Below are 19237 nucleotides of genomic sequence, written 5' to 3'. Positions count from 1 at the left end.
GGAGGCAGAGGTTGCAGTGAGCCGAGATTGTGCCACTGCACTCCAGCCTGGCAACAGTGCGAGACTCTGTCTCAAAAAAAAAAAAAAAAAAAAAGTGTGAGGCAAGGCTTCAGAAAATATTCCAGAATATTGTTATCATAGGAGATAACAACTCCCTGTTATTGAGCCTGAAAACCTTCTAGTGGGACAAGATGTGGAGGCAAAAGACAGTGATATTAATGATCCTCACCCTCTGTAGGCCTTGACTAATGTGTGTGTCTGTGTCTTCATTTTTAACTTATTTTTTACGAAGTTAAAAAATTAAATAGAAAAAGTTTATAGAATATAAAGGAGTACTTCTATACAGGCTGTATAATGTGTTTGTGTTTTAAGCTATTATTACAAAAGAGTCAAAAAGCTTTTTAAAATTTTAAAAGTTCATGAAGTAAAAACGTTACAGTAGACTAAGGTTAATTTATTACTAAAGAAAAAATTAATTTAGAGTAGCCTAAGTGTACAATGTTTATAACATCTACAATAGGGTACAGTAATGTCCTAGAGCTTCACATTCACTCACAACTCACTCCCTGACTCAACCAGAGGGGTCCCGCAAGCTTCGTTCATGTTAGTGCCCTATAAAGTTTTTACCATTTTTCATACATTTTTACAGTACCTTTTGGAAACTTAGATATGTTTAGATACACATTTACTTATCATTGTGTTTCAATTACCTACAATATTCAATACTGTAACATGCTGTTAAGGTTTATATCTGAGGCGCAATGGACCATATCATATAGCCTAGGTGCGTAATAGGCTGTGCCCTTCAGGTTTGTGTAAGTACACTCTTTGTTCACACAATGACAAAATCACCTTAAGATGATTACTCAGAACACAGTCCTCTTGTTAGGCGACACATGACTACAATGGGATTTTATTCGGCCTTTAAAAAAGATGAAAATCATAAGCTATGCTACAACATGGATAAACCTTGAAGACATTTAGGGAAATAAGCCTCAAAATAAGTCACAAAAGACTAAAACTTAAGTTTCCTCATATGAGATATTTATAGTAAAATTCATACAGTAGTATTGTCAGGGGCTGGTTGGCGTAGGGAATGAGGAAGAGGAGTAGTTTAAAGCAGCGGTCCCCAACCTCTTTGGCACCAGGGACTGGTTTCATGGAAGCCAATTTTTCCACGCATCAGGGACAGAGGAGGGGGCAGACAGTTTCAGAATAAAACTGTCCCACCTCAGATCATCAGGTATTAGTTAGATTCTCATAAGGAGCACACAACCTAGATCCCTCACAGGCACAGTTCACAATAGGGCTCAGGCTGCTATGAGAATCTAATGCTGCTCATCTGACAGGAGGTGAAGCTCAGGTAGTGATGCTGGCCCGGTTCCTAACAGGCCACAGACTGGTACCAGTTTGCAGCCTGGGGGTTGTGGACCCCTGGTTTAAAGGGTATAATGTTTTAGTTTCATTAAGTTGAAAAAACTTCTGGATATTAATTGACAACAATGCGAATGACTTAACACTACTGAACAGTACAGTTAAATATGGGTTAAGATGGTAGATTTTAAGTTACCTGTAATTTGCCACAATTATAATTTTTTTCTTTTTGAGACAGAGTCTCGCCCTGTCACCCAGGCTGGAGTGCAATGGAACAATCTCAGTTCACTGCAACCTCCGCCTCCCAGGTTCAAGTGATGCTCCCTGCCTCAGTCCCCTGAATAGCTGGGATTACAGGCACCTGCCACCATGCCCAGCTAATTTTTGTATTTTTAGTAGAGATGGGGCTTCACCATGTTGGCCCGGCTGGTCTCAAACTCCTGACCTCAGGTGATCCACCCACCTCTGCCTCCCAAAGTGCTGGGATTACAGGCGTGAGCCACCACGCCTGGACATAAATGTTTTTAATGTAGTTCCCAGCAGGAAATCCTCGCAGATTTCCATCTGAACTCTTTCAACATTAGATTTACATATATTAATAGGTTCTTGGTCCGATGTGAACCTTTTGGTGCTGAATGAGGTGACAGTTTTGGTGACTTTCCTGCATTCACTCCACTAAGGCCTTTTTCCAGTATGAATTATCTGATGTTTAATGAGGCTGGAGTTGTATTTAAACACTTTGCTGGATTCACCACACTCATAAGACCTTTCTCCAGTGTGAGTTTTTTGGCGCTGACCAGTATTACATTTGTTGAAGTCTTTCCCACATTCCCTTAACTTAAAAGGACTTTCTCCAGTGTGAGACTGCTGATGTATAATAAGGCTCGATTTAGTCCTAAACAATTCCCTACATTTACTGCACTCATGAGGCTTCTCCCCAGTGCAAACTTTATGATGTTTAATGAATGTAGAGCGGTATCTAAGAAACTTCCCACAGTTGCTGCATTCATAAGGCTTTTCTCCAGTATGAACTCTCTGATGAATAATGAGTTTGTAGCTATCTCTAAAAAATTTCCCACATTCACTACACTCATAAGGTCTTTCTCCAGTGTGAACTTTCTGATGTCTACTCAGTGTACAGCGATATCTAAAGAATTTCCCACATTTGCTGCATTTATAAGGCTTTTCTCCAGTGTGAATTCTCTGATGAATAACAAGTTTGTAGCTGTCCAAAAAGAATTTCCCACATTCATTGCATTCATAACGCCGTTCTCCAGTCTGGATTTTCTGGTGACCATCTAGATGAGCCTGTGTAAGGAAGGCCTTCCCACATTCACTACACACATAAGGCCTTGGCCTGAGGTCAATCCTCTTGTGTTGAATGAGGTCAGACCTTTTTGAAAATGCATCAGTGTGGATTTTCTCATGCTGAACTAGGTGGGACTTTCTAACAAAGGCCTTCGCACATTGAGTGCATTCATAAGGCCGTTCTCCAGTATGGATTTTCTGGTGACCAACCAGATGAGCCTGTGTAAGGAAGGCCTTCCCACATTCACTGCATGTATAAGGCCTTGGCCTAATGTCAATCCTCTTGTGTTGAATGAGGTCAGACCTTTTTGAAAATGCATCAGTGTGGATTTTCTGGTGCTGAACTAGGTGGGACTTTCTAACAAAGGCCTTCTCACATTCAGTGCACTCATAAGGCCGTTCTCCAGTATGAATTTTCAGATGCTGAACAACATTATGTTTGAGGCTAAAGGCTTTCCCACATTCGCTACACTTATAAAGCCTTTTGCCAGCATGAACTCTCTGGTGCATATTGAGTGTGGAGCGGTGACTAAAGAATTTTCCACATATGCTGCATTCAAAAGGCCTTTCTCCAGTATGAACTCTCTGATGTCTACCGAGTGTGAAGCTGTCCATAAACAATTTCCCACATTCACTGCACTCGTAACGCCTCTCCCCAGTGTGAACTTTCTGATGTCTGATGAGTTTGGAGTTATACATAAAAAACTTCCCACACTTGTTGCATTCATAGGGCTGTTCTCCAGTATGGGTTTTCTGGTGACCAACCAGATGAGCCTGTGTAAGAAAGGCCTTCCCACACTGGGTGCATTCATAAGGTGTTGGTCTACTGAGAATCTCCTGATGTTCAATGGGGTCAGACCTTTTTGAAAGAAAGCCTTCACTGTGAATTTTCTGGTGCTGAACTAGGTTGGACTTTCTAATAAAGGTCTTTCCATATTCAGTGCCCTCATAAGGCCTTTCTCCAGCATGATTTTGCTGATATTTAATAAGGTTGGAGTTGTACCTAAACAATTCCCCACATTCACTGAACTCATAAGGCCTCTCCCCATTATGGGTTTTTTGGTGCTCAAACAGCCCATGTTGGTGGCAAAAGTCTTTCCCACCTTGGCTGGAGTTGAAATCATTCTGTTCACCTTGAAAGGCTTCCCCATCCTGGGTATCCCTGTACAGCTTCCACCCACTGTTTAAGACCTGTTGCTGGAGAAGGTCTGAGCTGGCAGTAAAATCCTTGCCACCCTGCGTGCATGTGAAGTTCCTCTCTCCCACGTGAGCACTGTGGTTCACAAATGAAGGCCTCCACTCATCACTTCTGGTGAGCTTCTCTCTAATCTGCTCCTTTTGGTGCAGGTCATGCTCTGCTGCACATGTGTACAGCCCTTGCTCAGGGTGTGTTCCATCGTGCTCAGCCAGGTGCAGAATGTCCTTCAGAATTGAGCTACACATCTTGCAGGGCTGGGCCTTCAGGGTGGACAAAGCTGGCTTTGGAATTGTGACCTGTAACACTCTTACAGAAACACACTGCTTGGAAGGTACCTCCTCATCCTTGGCTCCATGCCAACAACCTGTAAGAACAGAAATGCTGGTGAAGTGCACGTGAACTCCGGAGGGAGGAGACAGCCCCATCACAAATGTCTGTGAGACACACCCACAAATGAGGGCACAGGACTGGTCACAGGCAAGGAAATAAGGCCAGTGAGAGGAAGGCCCAGTGTTCAGAGGTGGGCCTGTGAAGTGTGTGTAGTGGGGGAATCCTGGTGGTAAGGACACAAGGGAGAAGTACCATGCAGGGAGGGCAGGTGGGGTCTCCAACTCACTCCTCTATAAATGGCTTTCAACAGGCCATGACGGTTGTGTCCAGATCCAGAGAGATCTGATTGTGTGAGAGCGAGTATTCATGGACTACTGAAGGATACACGCAGACCTCATAACACCTAAAGTACAGGTCATACATTAGACAGCACTGCAAAGGGAGAGGTGGAAGAGAATGGTGGAGAGATGAAGGCTGGAGAGGAGGGGTCAGAGGTGGAAGCCAGGGGTCAGAAGTCAGAGTAAAAATAACAACAGGGAAGGAAAGGAAGAGTGACGAGTGGCCAGTGGCCCTGCATCAAACAATAGTGGTCACAAGGTAAGTTCTCAATGTGATTTGAACCCAGCCTTGATATCACATCCTTTCCCAGCTTTCACCCACCAGGGCCAAGTCCTTCTGAGTGTCTCTTGCCATTAATAGAGGACTATCCACTCTGCCAGGCACCCAGAGACCTCCCCCTTGCTCAAGGTGAGCAACTATCTAGCTGCGGCATAAGTCCAGCTACGGGAAAGGCAGGGAAAGGGAGGGGACAGCATGTACACAGAGCAATAAACCCAGGACATGCTGCATTCTAAAGCTACCAGAACACCCAGTAGAGCGTCCTGCAGAAATAACTTCACAATCCTCACAAGTGGTGACCAGGGAGGTGCCTGAAATTCCTAGCACAGACACTGTCTCCAAGTATGTCAGCAAGGGGAACAGGGAAACCCTTGGACAGAGGTTTCACACATTTGGACAGAGTAATCAAACCAGGGACAGGCACCGCCATTAGGATATCTTAAAGAAACCTGAAGATTTCTGACTTCCGAGCCTTATCTTGTAAAGTTTCAGAGCAACAGAAGCTGGGGCTGCTTAAGGGGAGGTGGTACAGTATACACAGCCCAGCTCTGGCTGCCTTATCACATTTGCCAGGAAACCAGGAGAGGACAGGACGTAGCACTCACAATCTGGTGTGGGAAAGACAGAGTTGTCATGGAAAAGAGCAAAAAAACAGCACCCAGCACAAGACACCAGAGTAGGTATGAAGGCCTTACCTACTGATGACAAAAGCGCAAAGTTCTCCAACATCACATTGCTGTGCAGGTGTCTCTGAGCATCATTAAGGATCCCCCATTCCTCTTGGGAGAAATATATGGCCACATCCTCAAAGACCATACAATCCTGCCAAAATTATGACACTTCAGTCTATGAACAACTTCTTATTCTGTGTTTCCTTAGATCTGTATTTATCTACTTAAAATCTAAGAATTGGAGGGCCAAACTAACAGCCAATGTTTTTACATTTCCCTTGCGATCCAGATCCCATATGCTGAACCACTATCTAATGCTCATACATGATTATTTCTCCTGTCCTAATCAACACAAGCCCTGTCACCACACAATAAGGGATAATCTCTTAGCCCTAAGGCTGCCAGACTTATGCAAACCACTGAGTTTTAAGCTCCTCATCCCACCCTGCATGCCTTTCCTGCCAAAACCCCAATACAGTCTCTGATATATGCTTTCCCTTCAGTCATGCCTCTGCCTCCTAACCAAATCTAGTATTTCCCGTGGCCTGGTGCAGCACGGCATTCCCCCTGCACTAAGGAAATGAAAGTAATTAAAATTATTTCAATGCCATTAGCCTCTCTGTCATCACTCACTCTTTTCCAAAAATGAAAATCCAGCGGGTCAATCACTGATACACTTCCCTCTCCAGAATCTTCAGTGCTTCCCCAGTACCCACACACATCCATCCCCTGCTTAGCCTCCACCCACTTCCCAAGGAGGAAGAGACTCCACATCCTGGTAGCATTCGCACTTCTCTCGCCCCCACTGCTACTGATTGCTGAGTCCAGCACAGCACAAAGATGGGTGGGGAGAAAGCAAAAGCATCATCAATGCCTAGCCCAGGGCGCCCTACCCTCTTTTTTTTTTTTTTTTTTTTTTTGAGACAAGAGTCTTGCTCTGTCACCCAGGCTGGAGTGCAGTGGCTCACTGCAACTTCTGCCTCCCAGGTTCAAGCAATTCTCCTGCCTCAGCCTCCTGAGTAGCTGGGATTACAGGCACCTGCCACCACTCCCGGCTAATTTTTGTATTTTTAGTAGAGACGGGGTTTCCCCATGTTGGGCAGGCGGGTCTCGAACTCCTGACCTCGTGATCCACCTGCCTTGGTCTCCCAAAGTGCTGGGATTACAGACATGAGCCACTGCGCCCGGCCGGCCCTACCTTCTTTTGTCACCCCATTTCCTTGGGGTCTCCAGATCTTGCCTCCCAGACACCCAAACTCAGGCTCACTCTTCTCCCTTACGTGCCCATTGCCAGGGCTGGGACCACGCATTCATGCTCCTCCTCACCTTCGCATCTCGCTTTGGACAGTACCTCTCTCATGTATCTAATGCCTCCACTCTTGCAATACTAACAGCAGCCCTGGCCCAACCAGGAGCATTTCCATGGCCTCCCAAGATGCCACTCTGTACATGGAGTCCTGCAGTGCACCAGAACCCTATTTGCTCCTGGGCTGCCCAGAATATAATGTTCCCTAGCGCCTGGGGCAGCACCGAGCCCTGTTCTGAAGGTCTCCCTTCCCAGTCCTGTTTTCTGGTTTAACCTCAGCCCCCCCAAAACCCAAGTGACAACCTCACAGTTCTTGCATACCTCCTCTGAGTTCCAGATCTTGGCTGTCTCCCCCTTTTGCAATGTACATGTTTTCCCATAAGCAGTCACAACATTCTCTATCCCCCTAATCCTAATCCAAAGCCCAGATACACTGACCTCCCCAATGCTATCCCCACCCCAGGCCTAGCAATGCTCCTTGCTGATCCCATCTTCCCCTAAAGTAGTCTCACAGTTTGCATGAAACTACCCAGGTCCAAGCAAGACTCACCATGAAACCCTGGTGAGTTTGTGGAGATGCCTCACCATCCATCTCATGGCCACTCTCCCCTCAAAAGCCCTTCCTTATACTCCACAGGCTGCCCCCAACATAACACACAAACATACACACACATACCCTCAGTCGATCCACTCTCTCATCTGTCTTTGTGACACCCACCAACACCATCCAGGTGCCCAGTGGAGACACCCAGTCCTCAGTCTGTTCCTTCTCCTTCCTTCCTACTAACACCATTGCTTCCTAAATCTGACCCAGTTTCACAACAGTTCAGCTATCATGTAGTGGATGTCTCCTTCCTGAACACCTCCAATGAACTCCATTCCTGTGTGTACAACTGCCAGCCTGGCACCTCCACTCAAAGTCTCTGAAACATTTTTTGTGTATTTTTGTTTTTGTTTTGGCTTGGATTTTTGTTTTTGTTTGTCTTACTCTGTTGCCCAGGCTGGAGTGCAGGGGCACAATCATGGCTCACTGCAGCCTTTACTTCCCAGGCTCAGGTGACCCTCCTGCCTCAGCACGCCGATTAGCTGAGACCACAGAGAGACGCCACCACACCCAGCTATTTATTATTATTTGTAGGGACAGAGTCTCCCTATGTTGCCCAGGCTGGCCTCAAGCAATCTTCCCACCTCTGCCTCCCAAAGTGCTGGGATTACAGGTGTGATCCACCATGCCTGGCCACTGGAACATTTTTGACTTGGCCAAAACTTGGTTCCTCATATGCTCTACTATATAAACACTCCCCCTACTACAGAACTTACTACATCTTAGTTGCTGGGACATCCATCCTTCCAAATAAGGCCAAAACTGTGGGGCCATTCCTGACCCCCTCTTCCATCTCAGCTCCCAAGCTTCCTTGCTCTCTACGTTATAAAATACAGGCAGCTCTAGATCAAACACATACAGAAGCCCCCCACTCCTCCCACTTCCACCACCGCCACTCTCGTTCAGTCACCAACAACCTCCACCTGGGCTGTTGCTGGACCCATCACCCAGGTATCGGTGGCTCCACCCTCACCTGCACGTGGTCTTCCATTCTGCAGGCAGAGGGAGCCACTAAAACCTGGGTCAGGTCACCTCTTTTTCCCCCCTCCTCAAACCTTCCCTAGTTACCATCGCCCTCAGATGAAAGGCCCAGAACCTTAGACTGCCATTCCATGCCGATCCCGCATGCCCTGTATGCCCCAACCTCCTACCCTGCTGCCATACTCTATCACGACCAGATACAACATGGATTTTCAGTTCACTAAACATCCCAGCTAAGTCGCACCAGTAAGCATTTGAACTTTCTATATCCCGTGCCTGAACGCCCTGCCACATCTTATCCCATCAGTTGTCGGAACTAGGACCACTCTATAACCAGAGGCTGAGTTCTGACTCCTGGTTGTCGTGGAACCACAGTCTTCAGACCCAAGGAAGGGAAAAACATGAAGTTTCAGGACACCACCTTTCCCTATATCAGGATGCCTAAAATAACGGAGAGATAAGTGGTGGGGGCCTGGGGTAGAGAGCCTGAGAAATCCTTGACTTACCTGTGCAGGGTCCTTATGCATTGCTGCCACTGCAATGGACCCTGTGGGAAGATGTGGCAGACTTGTACAGTTACTACTTGAGACCATCACTACGACAGTTACTGTTACTACTTGAGACCATCATTACGAGACTGAATGAAGGGGGACGAACGTAGAAATGAAAACTTAAGACGAAAGAAACTGTTTTAAAGAAGGCGAACTGGGGAAGAAGAGAGCTCCCTGCTTCTAGTGAGCAAAGGCAGCCCCTGAGCTTCCACAGCCCTCCACATTTATTGGGTAGGATGAAAGGGAGGAGGAGGTAACGACTGGTCAGCTGCTTAATTGATCACAAGTTCACATTATTGTTAACAGGCTTCAATTATGCCTAATCACAAGAAACACTTGTGCCTGGGTCGTGACTGCCTTCAGCATTCCTTCTGGGTGGCAGACGCAGTTTGTCAGTTTGCCAACATCCTGCTTTCATGAGAAACAGTTTGCTGTTTACTCATATAGCCTCCAGTGGCATACTGAGTTGATCACGACCCTCATTCTTTCGGCCTGTAACAGGAAGAAGCAAGCCATGAGTATCAGGACAGTACTGTGGCATCCTACAGGCTGAGCTGTACAACCATCTCTGCCCTGTACTGGAGCAAAGTAATCTGAAGCTACAGCAAGTCCTAAGTTCAGTGCTGCCTCTTAGCAGCTCTGTGTCTTTGGACAAGGACTGAACCTCCCTAAGCCTCAGTGCCCTTATGTGTAAAATGGAGATTAAAAGGGTTCCCACTTCACAGGGCTCATATTGACAAGAAGCATAAGTAGTACACACTATGTATAAGCATTACTTTCTATAGGATTAATGGTTTTGTACATGTTTTCAGCACAAAGTAGAAGGGTTTTGAAAATTTGAGTATTTTTCCCTTTTTTTTTTTTTTTTTTGAGACAGTGTCTCGCCCTGTTGCCCAGGCTGCAGTGCAATGGCACAATCTCAGCTCACTGGAACCTCCACCTCCCGGGTTCAAACGATTCTCCTGCCTCAGCCTCCTAAGTAGCTGGGATTACAGGCGCCCGCCACCACGCCCAGGTAATTTTTGTATTTTTAGTAGAGACAGAGTTTCACCATGTTGGCCAGGCTGGTCTCAAACTCCTGACCTCGTGATCCGCCCACCTTCGCTTCCCAAAGTGCTGGGATTACAGGCATGAGCCACTGTGCCCAGCCCACACTTCTTAATGTTTTAAGGAAATGTGATATATATATAAAGCTTTGTACTATAAGCAGAGTTACAGGTAAATTAACATTCTAACAATAAATATTTTAATACATTTAAATTATTGATTACATCTATTTCCAATTGCCTATGTGTACATATTTAGAAGGATATTGGCTGAGGAAAAAAAAAAATAGCCCAGACCTGTCTGACCTACACAAAATGTATCAGGCTCAGAGAGGCAAGAATATATGAGATGTCAGTCACATCCCTGAACCTATGCCTGAGGACAACTGTTTTAAGACATTCTGTTCCTGACTAGCTGTCTCACCTATTATCTTCATGTTTCTGTAATCTATAATATAAATAAGAATGTATAGCCAATAAAAACTTATCTTATTTTAACATAAGTTATTGGTAAACAACTCAGAAACTGCTTCTTTTTTCCTTAAAAAAAAAGCAAACACTTGTCACTGTGGTAATTGAAGTGTATATTCAGGACAACTTGAATCTATGGTCCCAGATGGCTATCATCAACATGTGAACTTGAATAAACTCTCTTTAAACTAGATTCTGACTTGCTTGGTTATTTAAGATTGATATAGTTCCTTACTGTTTAAGTCAATTACCTGTTTTTACATCCCTAAGTTAATGAGTTGTAGGATGGGGCTGAGCAGTCAATCAGTTACTGGTCCGTTCAGCAAACAGGTCAGCCTGCCATATAATGCAGTAAAGGGAGCTTGCTGGAGGCCCTTAACTGTGGTGGAGGATGTGAGAAAGCCCTGCCCAGTTTTGGACCCAGTTGCTGCATGGCCTTATCTTGTTCCCTAAAGAGTGGCCCTCAGGGCCAGCTGAGTTAGAAGGGTGGAGTGACTACAATTATCTCATGCCTCAGTCTCTGTATTCCAGGGCAACTCCTTATCCATCCAGGCCTCTTTTTCAACAGAAACAGACCAGACTCTTAGCCCATATCTGCTCCCTTCTGCAGGGAGTATCAGAGATGCCCTCCCTACCATGGTCTTTCCTCCAAATCTGAGCCCTCCCCTACCTCAGCCCATATGAAAAAACGATGTAGGATTCTTCCTTCTCAATCTGATCCACAGGCCAACTTCTCAAGTGCACAACTTCTAACTCATTTAAAGCTCCAGGCCAGCTACCTTCCCTCACCTTTGGAAATTACGTCCACCTACCCATGTGATGTCGCCCAAAATCCAACCCAGGATCTTCTGTCTGAAACCCGCTCCTTAAGCTGATATCTCTAATTCCATTCTTTCAGATTTTTCAGGCCAAAACAAAACCTATGGAAGACACCATTCACTACCGACTTTCCCTCACAGCTATGTTTGATGCAGCAGGAAATCCTGTTGACCCTATCTCTGAGATCCATCCAGAGTCTCATCACATCTCCCCTCTACTGCAACCCCTCTGGCCCAGCCCTACCATAACTCAAGGGGTCTCCTCAGCGGTCCCCCTGCCCCCGTTCAACATCCTGTTTTCCCCAACTTTAAACTTCTAACTCTGGGCGTGACCCTCCCATTCGTCCTCCCTGCACAGCCCTCTATGGCTCTCTGCGGCTCCACTGCCCTTCCAGGGGAGACTCCGCCTCAACCTCTGCTCCTTGGAGACAAAGACGCTCGGGCTCCCCAGTGCCGCCCGTTCTGCAGTGCCTCCAAGCCCCAGAGACGTGTCGGTCTCCGACGGGAGCTCCCCCGCCTCATCGCACCGCAGTCCCAGTCCCGGGCACCCCACACAAGAACGCCCCTCTCTTAGAGACACAAGGGCCTAACCTGCAGGGCGGCTCCTTGGGACTTCAGCACTGGGAGGAGGGGTTGGGCGGGGCGGCCTGGGACGCTGCACGCACCTCGGTCAGGTTCATCGGCGCGGCCTCCTCCAGTCCACCCAGGGAAGAGCGGGGCGGGAACGGCGGTCACCTGGACGCTGACGGAGGCAGGGGCGCCTGCAGCCGACTCAGCCGATCCGCACTCTAGCCTCTGTGTAGAAGGAACACCGCTTCTCGCGTTTTTCCGCTCTTTCACCTCAGTCCCGACCCAGAGCTCTGGGACCCTCTAAATCAGTGAACAGATCCCTAGGTAGCCATGCTAACGCAACCATGAGGGCGCCGCCAGAAGTCCCGCCCACACAATTGAGACCTCATTAGTCGTCTCTCTGCTAGACCAATGGCTACACTCGCTGCCCTGCCCCCGCAGTGTCTTCTGGGTAATGTAGTTCTCACGTTGCTGCCTGTGTCGCCCGCAGTGTCTTCTGGGTAATGTAGTTCCCACGCTGCTGCCTGCCTCGCCTCACAATGCTGGGCGCGCGGACCTTACGGAAAAAAGCTGGAGGCTCCTGGAGGAGCGTTAAGAAATGCAGTTCCGGGGCTCTTAAGGACGTGGAGGGGCTTTGCTGACTCCTAAACTGCAAGTAACCAGATTTTCCCGGAGAGCAGTCTAGGACAAGTCTGAGAAATATTTCAGAGACCTGTCGTTTCAGATTCTCTGAAGCACAGCAAGTCCCGAAAGGAAGAACATCAGAAGCGACATGGCTGACCATAATGAACTGGTCCTCCATTCATAGCGGTCAGCTCTTTTGTGCTTGTCAAGTACACACATACTGAGGCTCTGGAGACTTTTTTTTGATCGTTAGTGTGCTTCTGTTGGGACAAGAAAGAAAAGACCCACACAGGATGTGATGGAGAGTTGAAGGAGGAATATCTTTCTGTCGACGAAAAGGGTGGAACTTTGTGAAATAGTTGAAGAGATTTATTCTGAGACAAATATGAGTGACTAATGGCCCATGACACGGCTCCAAGATATCCTAAGAACATATGCCCAGGGTGGCCCATCTACAGCTTGGTTTTAACAATTTAGGAAGACGTAAGACATCAATCAATACATGTAAAATGTACATTGGATTCCTCTGGAAAGGCGCAACTGGAAGGGAGGGGCGGGGCTTCCAGGTCAGGTGGGTTCAAAGATTTTCCGATTGGCAATTGGTTGAAAGAGTTTGTATCTAAAGACCTGGAATCAGTAGAAATGGTTGTCTGGGTTAAGGGGTTGTGGGCCGGGCGTGGTATCTCACGCCTGTAATCCCAGCACTTTGGGAGGCCGAGGTGGGCGGATCACCTGAGGTTGGGAGTTCGAGACCAGCCTGACCAACATGTAGAAACCCCATCTCTACTAAAAATACAAAATTAGACGGGCATGGTGGCACATGCCTGTAATGCCAGCTACTCGGGAGGCTGAGGCAGGAGAATCGCTTGAACCCGGGAGGCGGAGGTTACGGTGAGCCGAGATCTCGCCATTGTACTCCAGCCCGTGCAACAAGAGCGAAACTCCGTCTCAAAAACAAAAAAAGACAAGGGGTTGTGAAGACCAAGGTTATATCATGCAGATGAAGCCTCCAGGTAGTCTTATAAGGCCTTATGATAAGGCCTCAGCTCCTGAGCTAAAGCTATCTTCCCACCTCAGCCTCTAGAGCAGCTGGGACTGTAGGTACAGGACACCGTCCCTGGCTTTATTCAGCTTTTTACAATGCACTACAAAAAGTCGGCATTTAGAGCTATTTTTCTCTCACTGCAATTGAGTAGCAGTGAGAGAAAAATTGAGTAGCAATAGTATTGCCATCAGGTGGTGGCAATACTACCTGAAAACCATGCCCCCAACAAATGAAGATTTGGATAATGCCTTATGGTCTCTTCTGCAGGATTAGTGAAGGAAGAACAAAGAAAAGACCAAAAATTAAAACCCATTCTCTTTATATTCAGAAAAGGAAAGGGCTATTTTTTGGCCAAAGCGTTACAATTTAGTTTGCCAACCAGTTTAAAAAAAAAAAAAAAAGGAAAAATTAACTCTGCCCAACTGAAGGTCTGGCAAAAACAAACCTTTGAAAGGGTTGTGGGAAATTAATGAATATTAAACTAATTTTCAACATAACCAGTTAAAAATAAGAAATCCCACTAACGTGGATAGTTCCTTATTTAGGTGTGAGAAATTTGCTATACAAATGGACAACGGCTACACCAAATATAAAAATTGACTCTGACCCATAATCTACACCAACCCATTCAGAAATCTAATGTGGTATCTACAGTAACCACTCCCAAGTCAGAATACTATGTCTAGCAACAAGGCCAGGAAGCCAGACAACATCCCACATAACAACTCGCTTAAAATGGCTAAGACATGACTAAGAACTGACAGCTTTCTAATTGTTGCCCATATGTTCAACTTAGGACCAACTGGAGAAAGTCAGTGCATCACTAGCCAATCACATAGGATGTCAACCTTCTAAATAACCCCTTCACACACACACACACACACACACACACACACACACACACACACTCCTCAAGACTATAGCCTCCAGTCATGGCATACCTAATACTTTACCTTTTATCTACTATGAAGCTTTTTACACCTCTGCTTGCCTTTCAAGCTCTGCTGAGTGCAAGAGATTGTGGATGACTCCTTTACTACGGTGTGGTCTGATTTAATAGGCTATGTTTGTTCTCATTTGGGTCTTCATTTATTTCCAAGTTGTCTGTTTGCAGTCCATGAATGCTACCATTAAGCATACTTCTTACTAATGAAGGTGCAGTGAACAAAGGATTGATATAATTAGATGTGACCATTGTAGAAATTATGTTACAATGTATCATACTTACAGAGGTCCCAGTGAAATAACGTCTAACCTGTTCATCACCATGGGCCATAGTCATCAAACAGGTATAGTAACCACAGAGGTCCTTTATGCTTTGCTCTTCACACCTTGTCAAATCCATGATGACATGTTAAGTTAGCAACAAGTTTGAACACTACTGTCTTTGCACTGGGTTTCTTGGCTATTTAGACTCTGTTTAGTCCCCCCCACCTTTTTTTTTTTTTTTTTTTTTTTAAGACAGAGTCTCACTCTGTTGCCCAGGCTGCAGTGCAATGGCAGGATCTCAGCTCACTGCAACCTCCACCTCCCAGGTTCAAGCAATTCTCCTGCCTCAGCCTCCCGAGTAGCTGGGACTACAGGCTCGTGCCACCACACCTGGCTAATTTTGTATTTTTAGTAGAGACATTGGCCAGGCTGGTTTCGAACTCCTGACCTCAGGTGATCTGCCTGCCTCAGACGCCCAAAGTGCTAGGATTATAGGTGTGAGCCACCGCGCCCCGCCTCCTTTTTTTTTTTAATTGGCTCCCGTGACATTGCCATCCTTGATAGTATCACACCATTTCTTTTCATCTCTTTTTGCTATCTTATATGTAACAGTTTAGTGATGTACTTTCTTAAAGCATTGTCATGAAGAGGATAATAATAGGGTAAAACTCAAGCATAGGCTGGGCGCGGTGGCTCATGCCTGTAATCCCAGCCTTTTGGGAGGCCGAGGCAGGCAGATCACCTGAGGTCCGGAGTTCGAGATCAGCCTGACCAGCATGGAGAAACCCCATCTTTACTAAAAACTCCATCTTTACTAAAAAATACAAAATTGGCCAGGCATGCGCCTATAATCCCAGCTACTCGGGATGCTGAGGCAGGAGAATTGCTTGAATCCAGGAGGCAGAGGTTGCAGTGAGCCAAGATCACGCCATTGCACTTCAGCCTGGGCAACAAGAGTGAAACTCCGTTAAAAAAACAAAAACAAAAAAAACTCAAGCATAGGCTCTAGTGACTTGTTTCAGCTAATATCACAGACCAAGGGTTTTCTGATTCTCAACAGACTGGTGACCATTTGGACAGACTTTGCTTTGGGTCACTGATAAAATGGGATAAGATTCTCTTATCTTCTTTTTCTTTTTTTTTTTTCTTTTTTGTCCAGAGAATTAGGCATTCATTCAGAAAGAGTATTCTCAGATTTTCTGCATGCTGAGGTGTGAAGATTGTCGTGTTCTTGTGGGGAAGTAGCCACCTATCATGCTGTAGAACCAGGCCTAAGGTACATAATCATTACACTCCTCTCAGACAGTGCCAGCACTTATTGGATCGTCTAAATTGAAATCGTCTCCTTTCCAGGAAAGTCTCCTGCATGTTATATGTACTCTGATTACAATCACAATTCTAGTGTTTAGGTTTCTAAGTGGCATAACTTCACCCGGATAATTTTTGCCTTCAGTGGCTACTAGGAGGAACATTTCAGTTGAAAAGAAAACAAAAACTGTTAATTTAAGAGATGCATTAGAAAAGAAAGAAAACAAAATTTCTCAGGCCCAGTAAGCAGTAGTTTTTTATTGGAATGAATCGTATTTGTACAATCTCCAAGGTTCTGAATAAAAAATTGTTTCAGTAAAAATTTCCTTGAATAAAGCCATTGAACAATTTGGCAAACTTAAGCAATATCCTCCCCCTCCTATTCCTCTAGTTGCTGCCTTATATCTAACTCTTCTACTTCCCCTTTACCCTTCTAATCTTTCTCTTTTTTTTTTTTTTTTTTTGAGACAGAGTCCTGCTCTGTCATCAGGCTGGAGTGCAGTGGCACAATTTCGGCTCACTGCAATCTCTGCCTCCCGGGTTCAAGTGGTTCCCCTGCCTCAGCCTCCTGAGTAGCAGGGACTACAGGCACGCACCATCACGCCCAGCTAATTTTTTGTATTTTAGTAAAGACGGGGTTTCACCATGTTGGCCAGGATGGTCTCAATCTCCTGACCTCGTGATCTGCCCACCTTGGCCTCCCAAAGTGCTGGGATTACAGGCGTGAGCCACCGTACCCTGCCTAATCTTTCTCCTTCTGCACCTCCTCCCTCTTCTATCCTTTGCCCAGGCCCCCTTTATTTTCCCAAAAAATATCCTAAAATTCCAAAATGCCAATTACCTCTAAAGATCTATGCTTTCAAGAGCCAAGTATGTAGGCAACTGTCAGATGTAAACCTTGGACCCAGGATGAATTAACAGCTGCAACTAAAGATTTCTCTAAACCCAAATAAGACTAGCATGTGTTCATAGAGAAATTTCGAATTCTTTCATATGCATATGACCCAGAGTTATGTGACTTACACCATGTTATGGTTTAAACCTTTGTCTTCTCCAAACTCATGCTGAAATCTAATTGCCACTGTAACAATATTAAGAGGTGGAACCTTTAAGAGGCTTCAGATCATGAGGGCTCCACCCTCATAGGTGGACTAATGCTATCATCGCAAGAATGGGTTCTTATTCCCTCTTGCTGTCTCTTTGCTCTTCTACCATTTGATGGCTTCTGTCATGTTATGATGCAGCGAGAAGGCCCTCACCAGATGCTAGTATCTTGGTATTGGACTTCCCAGCCTCCAAACTACGAGCCAATAAATGTCTCTTCTTTGTAAATTACCCAGCCTGTGGTATTCTGTTATAGAAGCACAAAACAGACTAAGACATGCCACTTGTATACATGTTGGTGTGAACCTCAGATGATAAATCCTGAATGATGAAAGGTGATTAGACTGACCTGGATAGGCAGCTACAGGGCACCTTTTTCCACAATAAACCACAATAAAACTATAGGTCAAAAAGGCTAGGAAATTAAGATCAAGTCTCCTAAAAGCCATACCTCAAATGTTTTCAATCAAAATCCATTCGAACAGAGTAGCTACAATTAAAAGAAACAGAAGAACACAACAAGTGTTGTCAAGGATGTGGAAAAATTAGAAACATGTGCCTTTTGATAAGAATGTAAAATGATGCAGCCACCATGGTGGCTGTGCACCTGTGGTCTCAGCTACTCAGGAGGCTGAGGTAGGAGGATCACTTGAACCTGGTATTGGACTGTGGTAAGCTGAGATTACACCACTGCACCACTCCAGCCTGAGTGCCAGAGGAAGACCTGCCTCAAAAAATAAAAAATAAAAAAAATTCACCAGGCATGGTGGTGGCACACTTTTAGTCCTAGCTACTTGGAAATCTGAGGCAGGAGGATCTCTTGAGCCCAGGATGTCAAGGATGCAGTGAACTGTGACTGTGCCACTTACTCCAGCCTGGGTACAGAGCAATACCCTGTCTCCAAAAGATAATTTAAAACTAAGAAAAAATTTTAAAATAGAATTATATGTGATCCAGCAATTTTACTTCTGGGTATATACAAAAAGAAATTAAAGTAGGGCTTCATGAAGATAGTTCCACACCCATGTTCACAGTAGCCAGAATGTGGAGACAATCAAAGTGTTGATTGATGTGGCTGGGTGCAGTGGCTCACGCCTGTAATCCCAGTACTTTGGGAGGCCGAGGCAGGCAGATCACCTGAGGTCAGGAGTTCGAGACCAGCCCGGCCAATATGGCAAAACCCCATCTCTACTAAAAATACAAAAAATTAGCCAGGCGTGTTGGTGGGCACCTGTAATCCCAGCTACTCAGGAGGCTAAGGCAGGAGAATCGCTTGAACCCAGGAGGTGGAGGTTGCAGTGAGCTGAGATCGCCATTGCACTCCAGCCTGGGCAACAAGAGCGAAACTCTACCACACACACACACAAAAAAAAGTATTCATTGATGAATGACTGGATAAAGAAAATATATATACAATGGAATATTATTCAGCCTTAGCAAGGAAGGAAATTTTGACACACACAGCAACATGGAAGAACTTGAGGACTTATTGTAAGTGAAGTAAGCTAGTCACAAAACAATACATTTGTATGATTCTACTTGTATAAGCTACCTCAAGTAGTCAAATACATAGGAAAGTAGATAGGGGTTTCCAAGAAGTGGGAGAGCAAAAACTAGAAGTTCCTCAATTCAGATCACTGAGTGTCTTATGAGGAAAGGTAGTGTCTAATATCTTCCCATACACTTAAACGCTCAGATTCAAACATAAATGTACCTGATCATCCTCATCTATTCCTGGTAGATAACAGGTGCTATACTTTCTACATTAAATCTTGTCAAAATAATAATAACAGTAGCCAAGTGTGGTGGTGCTCACCTGTAGTCCCAGCTACTTGAGAGGCTGAGGCAGGAGGATCACTTGAGCCCAGGGGTTCCAGGTGGCAGTGAGCTATGATCATGCCACTGTACTCCAGCTTAGGGGACAGAGTGAGATCCTGTCTCTAAAAACAAAGTAAACAAAAAAAAAAAAAAAAAAAAGAAAGCACAACAAAACAACAGTAAGAAATTTATTTTCTTTACAAATTACCCAGTTTAAGGTATTTTGTTGTAAGCAATGGAAAATGGACTAATGCACTGTTGTTGTATGTCTGACATGCCCCAG

At 45.4% G+C, this 19237-nt stretch overlaps 1 protein-coding gene across 5 annotated transcripts, besides 2 other annotated features; it reads right to left on the bottom strand.

The window, feature by feature from the left end:
• Positions 1-433: 433 nt before the first annotated feature.
• ZNF749 (zinc finger protein 749) lies at positions 434-18970 on the bottom strand. Of its 5 annotated transcripts, none has more exons than XM_011526956.3 (3): positions 18953-18970; positions 5524-5650; positions 434-4244 (listed from the first exon to the last, which is right to left on the bottom strand). In XM_011526956.3, the coding sequence occupies exons 2-3, from the start codon at positions 5642-5644 to the stop codon at positions 2050-2052; spliced, it is 2316 nt and encodes a 771-aa protein (XP_011525258.1). In that variant the 5' UTR covers positions 5645-5650; positions 18953-18970; the 3' UTR covers positions 434-2049. The 5 variants fall into 5 exon arrangements, with proteins under 5 accessions (XP_011525258.1, NP_001308881.1, NP_001018855.2 ...); NM_001321952.2 differs by lacking the exon at positions 18953-18970 and adding an exon at positions 11868-12210; NM_001023561.4 differs by lacking the exon at positions 18953-18970 and adding an exon at positions 11942-12210.
• Positions 11646-11695: an enhancer, noted in NCBI's record as "active region_15143". NCBI's record gives its function as "activates an Ori minimal core promoter by ATAC-STARR-seq in GM12878 lymphoblastoid cells {active_cell/tissue: GM12878}" and the evidence as "EXISTENCE:reporter gene assay evidence [ECO:0000049][PMID:35858748]".
• Positions 12326-12625: an enhancer, noted in NCBI's record as "active region_15142". NCBI's record gives its function as "activates an Ori minimal core promoter by ATAC-STARR-seq in GM12878 lymphoblastoid cells {active_cell/tissue: GM12878}" and the evidence as "EXISTENCE:reporter gene assay evidence [ECO:0000049][PMID:35858748]".
• Positions 18971-19237: the final 267 nt, after the last annotated feature.

Source organism: Homo sapiens, chromosome 19 (assembly GCF_000001405.40).
Source record: "Homo sapiens chromosome 19, GRCh38.p14 Primary Assembly".
In the NCBI taxonomy this organism is placed as follows: domain Eukaryota; kingdom Metazoa; phylum Chordata; class Mammalia; order Primates; family Hominidae; genus Homo; species Homo sapiens.
The sequence above is the reverse complement of the archived record's forward strand: the minus strand, read 5'-3'. Positions and strand labels throughout refer to the sequence as shown.

Coding starts and splice junctions, on each gene's coding strand:
- ZNF749 (NM_001023561.4), bottom strand. Junction 4,245..5,523: donor TGCGCTTTTGTCATCAGTAG/GTAAGGCCTTCA, acceptor CTGTTCTTACAG/GTTGTTGGCATGGAGCCAAG.